The 9,794-nt window shown below is 35.7% G+C and overlaps 1 annotated feature.

Annotated features, from left to right (window-relative positions):
• Positions 1,941-2,527: an enhancer, noted in NCBI's record as "OCT4-NANOG hESC enhancer chr19:27836954-27837540 (GRCh37/hg19 assembly coordinates)". NCBI's record gives its function as "activates a minimal SCP1, AML or CMV promoter by ChIP-STARR-seq in naive H9 embryonic stem cells {active_cell/tissue: H9 hESC(naive)}" and the evidence as "EXISTENCE:reporter gene assay evidence [ECO:0000049][PMID:30033119]".

Below are 9,794 nucleotides of genomic sequence, written 5' to 3' on the forward strand. Positions count from 1 at the left end.
AAAGAATTTTCTCAGAAAGCTTCTGTCTAGTTTTTATGTGAAGGTATTTCCTATTTCACCATAGGCCATAAATGGCTCAAAAAAATCACTGTGCAGATTCTACGAGAAGACTGTTTCCAAACTGCTCAGTCAAAATAAATGTTCACCTCTTTGGGATGAATGCACACATCCCAAGAAGTTTCGCAGAATACTTCTGTCTAGATTTTATATGTAGATATTTCCTTTTATGCCATAGGAGCCAAAGCACTCCAAATATCCATTTGCAGATTCTACAAAAAGACTGTTTCCAAACGAAACGGGTGAATCAAAAGAAATGTTCAACTCTGTGAGATGAAAGCATACATTAAAAAGAAGCTTCTCAGAAAACTTCTTTCTCGTTTTTATGTGAAGATATTACCTATTTCACCATATGCCATAATGGGCTTACAAATATCCCTGTGCAGATTCTATGAAAAGAATGTTTCCAAAGTGCTCAATCAAAAGAAAATTTCAAATCTGTGACATGAATGCACACATCACAAATAAGTTTCCCAGAAAGCTTCTATTTAGTTTTTATGTGAAGATATTTCCTTTTTCACCAAAGGCCTCAAAGCGCTCCAAATATCCATTTGCAGATTCTACAAAAAGGGTATTTCCAACCTGCTCAATTGAAAGAAAGGTTCAACTCTGTGAGATGAATGGATACATTTCAAAGAAGAGTCTCAGAAAGCTTCTGTCTAGTTTTTATGTGAAGATATTTCCTATTTCACCTTAGGGCATAAAGGGCTCTCAAATATCCCTGTGCAGATTCTATGAAAAAACTGTTTCCAAATTGCTGAATCAAGAGAAAGTTTAAACTCTGTGAGATGAGTACACACATCACAAAGATCCTTCTCAGAAACCTTCTGTTTAATTTTTATGGGAAGATATTTCCTTTTTCACCATAGGCCTTTAACCGGTCACAAATATCCCTCTACAGATACTACAAAAAGACTGTTTCCAAAGTGCTCCATCAAAAGAAAGGTTCAATTCTGTGAGATGAATACAGGCATCACAAAGAAGTTTCTCAGAATGCTTCTGTCTAGTTTTTATGTGAAGATATTTTCTATTTCACAATAGGCCATAAGGGACTCTCAAATGTCCCTGTGGAGATTCTACAAAAAGACTGTTTCCAAACTGCTCAATCAAAAGAAAAGTTCAACTTTGTGAGATGAATGCACACATCACAAAGAAGTTTCTCATAATGTTTCTGCCTAGTTTTCATGTGAAGATATTTCCTTTTCCACCATAGGCTTCAAAGCGTTCCAATTAACCACTTGCAGATTCTACAAAAAGTGTGTTTCCAAACTGCTCAATCAGAAGAAAGTTTCAACTCTGTGAGATGAATACACATATCACAAAGAAGTTCCTCAGAATGCTTCTGTCTTGTTTATATGTATAGCTATTTCTTTTTCACCATAGCCCTCAAATGGCTCGGAAATATCCATCTGCAGATTGTACAAGCAGGCTGTTTGCAAAGTGCTCAATCAAAGGAAAGTTTCAATTCTGTGAGATGAATGCAGGCATCACATGTAAGTTTCTTAGAAAGCTTCTGTTCAGTTTTTATGTGAAGATGTTTTCTTTTTCACTATAGGCCTCAAAGCACTCCAAATATCCATTTGTGGATTCTACAAAAAGAGTGCTTCCAAACTGTTCATTCAAAAGAAGCGTTCAACTCTGTGAGATGAAAACATACATCACAAAGAAGATTCTCAGAAAGCTTCTGTTTAGTTTTTATGTGAAGATATTTCCCTTTTCCCAATAGGCCTTAAAGTGCTCCATATATCCATTTGCAGATTCTACAAAAAGACTGTTTCCAAACTGCTCAATCAAAAGAAAGGTTCAACTCTGTGAGACGAAAGCATACATTAAAAAGAAGTTTCTCAGAAAGTTTCTGTCTCAATTTTATGTGAAGATATTATGTATTTCACCATAGACCATAAAGGGATCACAAATATCCCTGTGCAGATTCTAAGAAAAGACTGTTTCCAAACTGCTCAATCAAAACAAAGTTTCAACTCTGTGAAATGAAATGATACATCACAAAGAAGTTTCTAAGAAAGCTTCTGTCTAGTTTTTATGTGAAGATATTTCCTATTTCACCTTAGGATATAAAGGGCTCACAAATATCCCTGTGGAGATTCTACAAAAAGACTATTTCCAAACTGCTCAATCAAAAAAAGGTAACTTTGTGAGATGAATACACACATCACAAAGAATTTTCTCAGAATGCGTCTGTCTAGTTTTTATGTGAAGATAATTCCTTTTCCACCATAGGCCTCAAAGCACTCCAAATATCCATTTGCAGATTCCACAAAAAGACTGTTTACAGTGGGGTGTTAAAGTCTGCCATTATTATTGTTTGGGAGTCTAAGTCTCTTTGTAGGTCTCTAAGGACTTGCTTTATGAATCTGCGTTCTCCTGTATTGGATGCATATATATTTAAGATAGTTAGATCTTCTTGTTGCTTTGATCCCTTTACCATTATGTAATGGCTTTCTTTGTCTAGTTTGATCTTTGTTGATTTAAAGTCTGTTTTATCAGAGACTAGGTTTGCAACCCCTGCCTTTTTTGTTTTCCATTTGTTTGGTAGATCTTCCTCCATCCCTTTATTTTGAGCCTATGTGTGTCTCTGCACCTGAGATGGGTTTCCTGAATACAGCACACTGATGGGCCTTGACTCTTTATGCAATTTGCCAGTCTGTGTCTTTTAATTGGAACATTTAGCCCATTTACCTTTAAAGTTAATATTGTTGTGTGTGAATTTGATCCTGTCATTATGATGTTAGCTGTTATTTTGCTCGTTAGTTGATGCAGTTTCTCCCTAGCCTCGATGGCCTTACAATTTGGCATGTTTTTGTAGTGGCTGGTACCAGTTTTTCCTTTCCATGTTTAGTGCTTCTTTCAGGAGCTGTTTTAAGGCATGCCTGGTTTTCACAAAATCTCTCAACATTTGCTTGTCTGTAAAGTATTTTATTTTTCTTTCACTTTTGAAGCTTAGTTTGGCTGGATATGAAATTCTGGGTTGAAAATTCTTTTCTTTAAGTATGTTGAATATTGGTCCCCACTCTCTTCTGGCTTGTAGAGTTTCTGCTGAGAGACCTGCTGTTAGTCTGATGGGCTTCCCTTTGTGGGTAACCCGAGCTTTCTCTCTGGCTGCCCTTAACATTTTTTCCTTCATTTCAACTTTAGTGAATCTGACAATTATGTGTCTTGGAGTTGCTCTTCTTGAGGAGTCTCTTTGGGGCATTCTCTGTATTTCCTGAATTTGAATGTTGGCCCGCCTTGCTAGATTGGGGAAGTTCTCCTGGAAAATAGCCTGCAGAGTGTTTTCCAACTTGGTTCCATTCTCCCTGTCACTTTCAGATACACCAATCAGACGTAGATTTGGTCTTTTCACATAGTCCCATATCTCCTGGAGGCTTTGTTCATTTCTTTTTTTTCTTTTTTCTCTAAACTTCTTTTCTTGCTTCATTTCATTCATTTCATCTTCCATCACAGATACCCTTTCTTCCACTTGATCACAATGGCTACTGAGGCTTCTGCATTTGTCATGTAGCTCCCATGCCTTGGTTTTCAGCTCCATCAGGTCCTTTAAGGATTTCTCTGCATTGTTTATTCTAGTTATCCATTCGTCTAATTTTTTTACAAAGCTTTTAACTTCTTTGTCATTGGTTCGAATTTCCTCATGTAGCTCGGAGTAGTTTGATCATCTGAAGCCTTCTTCTCTCAACTCGTCAAAATCATTCTCCATCCAGCTTTGTTCCATTGCTGGTGAGGATCTGCGTTCCTTTGGAGGACAAGAGACACTCTGATTTTTAGAGTTTCCAGTTTTTCTGCTCACTTTTTTCACATCTTTGTGGTTTTGTCTACCTTTGGTCTCTCATGATGGTGATGTACATATGGGATTTTGGTGTGCATGTCCTTGTTGTTTGTTAGTTTTCCTTCTAACAAACAGGACCCTCGGCTGCAGGTCTGTTGGAATTTACTAGAGGTCCACTGCAGACCCTGTTTGCCTGGGTATCAGCAGCGGATTTGCCTGGGTATCACACATAAAAAAGAAGTTACTCAGAATGCTTCTACCTAGTTTTTATGTGAAGATACTTCTTTTTCACCATAGGACTCAAATGGTTCAGAAATATCCCTTTGCAGATTCTACAAAAAGTCTTTTTCCAAACTGCTCAATGAAAAGAAAGGTTCAACTCTGTGAGATGAATGCACACATGAAAAAGAAGTTTCTCAGGATGCTTCTATCTAGTTTTTATGTGAAGATATTTTTTTTTCACCATAGGCCTCAAATAGCTCAGAAATATCCATTTGCAGATTGTACAAAAATACTTTTTCCAAACTGCTCACTGAAAAGAAAGATTCAACTCTGTGAGATGAATGCAAATATCACAAAGAGGTTTCTCAAAAAACTTCTGTCTAGTTTTTATGTGAAGATATTTCCTTTTTAACCATAGGCATCAAACCACTCACAAATATCCCTTTGCAGATTACACAAAAAGACTGTTTCCAAACTGCTCAATGAAAAGAAAGGTTCAACCCTGTGAGAAGAATGCACACATGAAAAAGAAGTTTCTCAGAACGCTTCTGTCTAGTTTTTATGTGAAGATATTTCTTTTTCACCATAGGCCTCAATCTACTCAGAAATATTCCTTTGCAGGTTACACAAAAGACTGTTTACAAACTGCTCAATGAAAAGAAACGTTCAACACTGTGAGAAGAACACACACATAAAAAAAAGTTTCTCAGATTGCTTCTGTCTGGTTTTTATGTGAAAATATTTCCTTTTTTACCATAGGTCTCAATCCGCTCAGAAATATCCATTTGCAGATTGTACAAAAATACTGTTTCCAAACTGCTCACTGAAAAGAAAGGGTCAACTCTGTGAGATGAATGCAAACATCACAAAGGGGTTTCTCAAAGAGCTTCTGTCTAGTTTTTATGTGAAGATATTTCCTATCTCACCATAGGCCATAAATGGCTCTGAAATATAACTTTCCACATTCCACAAAAGGACTGTTTCTAAACTGCTCAATCAGAAGAAAGGTTCAACTCTGTGAGACAAATGGACACATCACAAAGAAGATTCCCAGAGAGTTTCTGTCTAGTTTTTATGTGAAGATATTTCTTTTCAACCATCAGCCTCAAATGGCTCAGAAATATCCCTTTGCAGATTATAAAAAAAAAAAAAAAACTGCTTCCAAACTGCTTAATCAAAAGAAAGTTTCATCCCTGTGAGATGAATGACCACATCAAAAAGAAGTTTCTCAGAATGATTCTGTTTAGTTTTTATATGAAGATATTTCATTTTCACCATATTCCTCAAAGGGCTCCAAATATCCATTAGCAGACTCTACAAAAAGAGTGTTTCCAAACTCCTCAATCAAAATAAAGTTTTAACTCTGTAAGATGAAAGCACACATCACAAAGAAGTTTCTCAGAAAGTTTCTGACTACTTTTTATGTGAAAATATTACCTATTTCACAATAGGACTCAATGGTTTCACAAATATCCCTTTGCAGATACTAAAAAGGACTGTTTCCACAATGCTCAACCAAAAGAAAGTTTCAACTTTGTGAGATGAAAGCACATATCACAAAGAGGTTTCTCAAAATACTGCTGTCTAGTTTTTATGTGAAGATATTTCCTTTTTCACCATAGGCCTTGAACCACTCAGAAACATTCCTCTGCAGATACTACAAAAAGACTGTTTCCAAACTGCTACATCAATAGAAAGTTTCAATTCTGTGAGATGAATGCACACAACACAAAGAAGTTTCCCAGAATACTTCTGTCTAGTTTCTTTGTGAAGATATTTCTTTTTTATCATAGCCTCAAAATGCTCCAAATATCCATTTGGAGATTATTCAAAAAGTCTGTTTCAAAACTGCTCAATTAAAGGAAACACTCAACTCTGTGAGATGAAAGCATGCATCACAGGAAGTTTCTCAGAAAGCTTCTGTCTACTTTTTATGTGAACATATTTCCTATTTCAACATAGGCCAAAAAGGGCTCACAAATATCCCTTTGCAGATTCTACAAAAGGACTGTTTCCAAACTGTTCAATAAAAAGAAACTTTCAACCCTGTGAGATGAATGCAGACATCACAATGAAGTTTCTCAGAATGCTTCTGTCTAGTTTTTATGTGAAGATATTTCCTTTTTCAACATAAGCCTCAAAATACTCACACATATCCCTATGCAGATACTACAAAAAGACTGTTTCCAAACTGCTCCATCAAAAGAAAGGTTGAACTCTGTTAGATGTATGCACACAGCACAAAGAAGTTTCTCAGAATGCTTTTGCCTAGTTTTTATGTGAAGATATTTCCCTTTTCACCATAGGCATCAAAGCATTCCAAATATTGATTTGCAGATTCTACAAAAAGACTGTTTCCAAACTGCTCAATCAAAAGAAAAGTTCAACTCTGGGAGTTGAATGCACACATCACAAAGAAGTTTCTGGGAAATATTCTGTTTAGGTTTATGTGAAGATATTACCTTTTTGACCATAGGCTGGAAAGCGCTCCAAATATCCATTTGCAGATTCTACAAAAATGGTGTTTCCAAACTGCTCTATCAAAAGAAAGGTTCAACTCTGTGAGATGAATGCACACATCACAAAGTAGTTTATCAGAATGCTTCTGTCTAGTTTTTATGTGAAGATATTGTCTTTTTCACCATAGGCCACAAAACACACCAAATATCAATTTGCAGATTCTACAAAAAGACTGTTTCCAAACTGCTCAATCAAAAGAAAGTTTCAACTACGGGAGATGAATGCACACATCACAAAGAAGTTTCTCAGAAAGCTTCCTTTTAGTTTTTATGTTAAGGTATTTCCTGTTTCACCACAGGACATAAAGGGCTCACAAATATCCCTTTTCTGGTTCTACGAAAACACTGTTACCAAACTGCTCAATCAAAAGAAAGGTTCAACACTGTGAGATGAATGGACACATTACAAAGAAATTTCTCAGAAGGTTTCTCTCTAGTTTTTATATGAAGATACTTGTTTTTCACAATAGGTCTCAAAAGGCTCAGAAATATCCCTTTGCAAATTGTACAAAAACACTGTTTCCAAACTGCTCTATCAAAAGAAAGATTCAACTCTGGGAGAAGAATGCAAATGTCACAAAGAAGTTTCTCAAAAAGCTTCCATTTTGCTTTTAGTGAAGATATTTCCTTTTTCATCATAGGCCTCAAAGCGCTGCAAATACCCATTTGAAGATTCTACAAAAAGAGTGTTTCCAAACTGCTCAAACAAAAGAAAGGTTCAACTGTGAGATGAATGCACACAAAACAAAGAAGTTTCTCAGAATGCTTCTGTCTAGTTTTTATGTGAAGATATTTCCATTTTCACAATTGTCCTGAAAGCACTCCAAATATCCATTTGCAGATTCTACGAAAATACTGTTTCCAAACTGCTCAAGCAAAAGAGAGGTTGAACTTTGTGAGATGAAAGCACACAGCACAAAGAAGTTTCTCAGAATGCTTCTCTCTAGATTTTATGTGAAGATACTTCTTTTTCAACACAGGCCTCAAACGACTCAGAATTATCCCTTTGCAGATTGTACAAAAAGACAGTTTCCAAACTGCACAATCAAAAGAAAGGTTCAACTCTGGGAGATGAATGCACACATCACAAAGAAGTTTCTCACAAAGCTTCTGTTTATTTTTTACCTGAAGATATTTCCTTTTTCACCATATACCTCAAAGCACTCCAAATATCCATTTCTGTATTCTACAAAAAGAAAGTTTCCAAACTGCTCAATCAAAAGAAAGGTTCAACTCTGTGAGATAAATGCACACATCACAATGAATTTTCTCAGAATGTTTCTGTCTAGTTTTTGTGTAAAGATATTTCATTTTTATCCATAGGTCTTAAATCAGTCACAAATATCCCTTTACAGATACTACAAAAAGAATGCTTCCAACCTGCTGTATGAAAAGAAAGGTTCAACTCTGTCACATGAGTGAAACCATTACAAAGGTGTTTCTCAGAATAATTCCGTCTAGTGTTTATGTGATGATATTTCATTTATCAACACAGGCCTTAAACCACCCAAAAATATTCCTCTTCAGATACTACAAAAGGACTGTTTCCAAATTGCTCCACCAAAAGAAAGGTTCAACTCTGTGAGATGAATGCACACATCACAAAGAAGTTTCTCAGAATGCTTCTGTCTAATTTTTATGTGAAGATATTTCCTTTTTCACCGTAGACAACAAATCGCTCCAAATATCAATTTGTAGATTCTACAAAAAGGCTGTTTCCACACTGCTCAATAAAAAGAAAGGTTCAACTCTGGGAGATGAATGCACACATCACAAGGAAGATTCTCAGAAAGCTTCTGTTTAGATTTTTTGTGATAATAGTTTCTTTTTCACCACAGGCCTCAAAGCACTCCAAATATCTATTTGCAAATTCTACAAAAAGAGAATTTCCAAGTTGTTCAATCAAAAGAAAGGTTCAACTCTTTGAGACAAATGCACACATAACAAAGAAGTTTCTCAGAATGATTCTGTCTAGCTTTTATGTGAAGATATTTCCTTTTTCACCGTAGACCTTAGACAGCTCAAAAATATCCCTCTGCAGATACTACAAAAAGACTGTTTCCAAACTGTTCCATCAAAACAAGGTTCAACTCTGTAAGATGAATGCACACATCACAAAGAAGTTTCTCAGAATGCTTCTGCCTAGTTTTGATGTGAAGATATTTCCTTTTTCAACTTTGCCCTCAAAGTGCCCCAAATATCCATTTGCAGATGCTACAAAAAGACAGTTTCCAAACTTTTCAAAAAAAGAAACGTTCAACTCTGTGAGATGAAAGCATACATCACAAAGAAGTTTCTTAGAAAACTTCTGTCTAGTTTTTATGTGAAGATATTTCCTATTTCACCATAGGTCATAAAGGGCTCACAAATATCACTTTGCAGGTTCTACGAGAACACTTTTTCCAAACTGCTCAATCAAAATAGAGCTTCAACTCTGTGACATGAATGCACACATCACAAAGAATTTTCTCAGAATGCTTCTGTCTAGTTTTTATGTGAAGATATTTCCTTTTTCACCATAGACACTAAAGCATTCACAAATATCCCTCTGTATACTCTACAAAAAGACTGTTTCTAAAATTATCCTTCAAAAGAAAGTTGAACTCTGAGATGAATGCACACTTCACAAAGGAATTTCTCAGAATGCTTATGTCTAGTTTTTATGTGAAGATATTCCCTTTTTCACGATAGTCCTCAAAGCATTACAAATATTCATTTGAAGATTCTACAAAAAGACAGTTTCCAAATTTCTCAATCAAAAGAAAGTTTCAACTCTGTGAGATGAAAACACACATCACAAAGAAGTTTCTCAGAAAGCTTCTGTCTAGTTTTTATGTGAACATATTTCCTATTTCACCATAGGCCTCAATGGGCTCACAAATATCCCTTTGCAGATTCTACAAAAGCACTGTTTCCAAACTTGTCAATAAAAAGAAAGGTTTGACTCTGTGAGGTGAATTCACACATCACAAAGAAGTTTCTCAGAATGCTTCTGTATAGTTTTTATGTGAAGATATTTCCTTTTTCACAGTAGGCCTCAAAGCGCTTCAAATATCCACTCGCAGATTCTACACAAAGACTGTTTCCACACTGCTCAATCAAAGGAAGTTTCAACTCTGTGTAATGAATGCACATATCACAAAGAAATTTCTCAGAAAACTTCTGTTTAGTTTTTACATGAAGTTATTTCCTTTTTTTCCATAGACCTCAAA

Source organism: Homo sapiens, chromosome 19, assembly GCF_000001405.40.
Source record: "Homo sapiens chromosome 19, GRCh38.p14 Primary Assembly".
In the NCBI taxonomy this organism is placed as follows: Eukaryota; Metazoa; Chordata; class Mammalia; order Primates; family Hominidae; genus Homo; species Homo sapiens.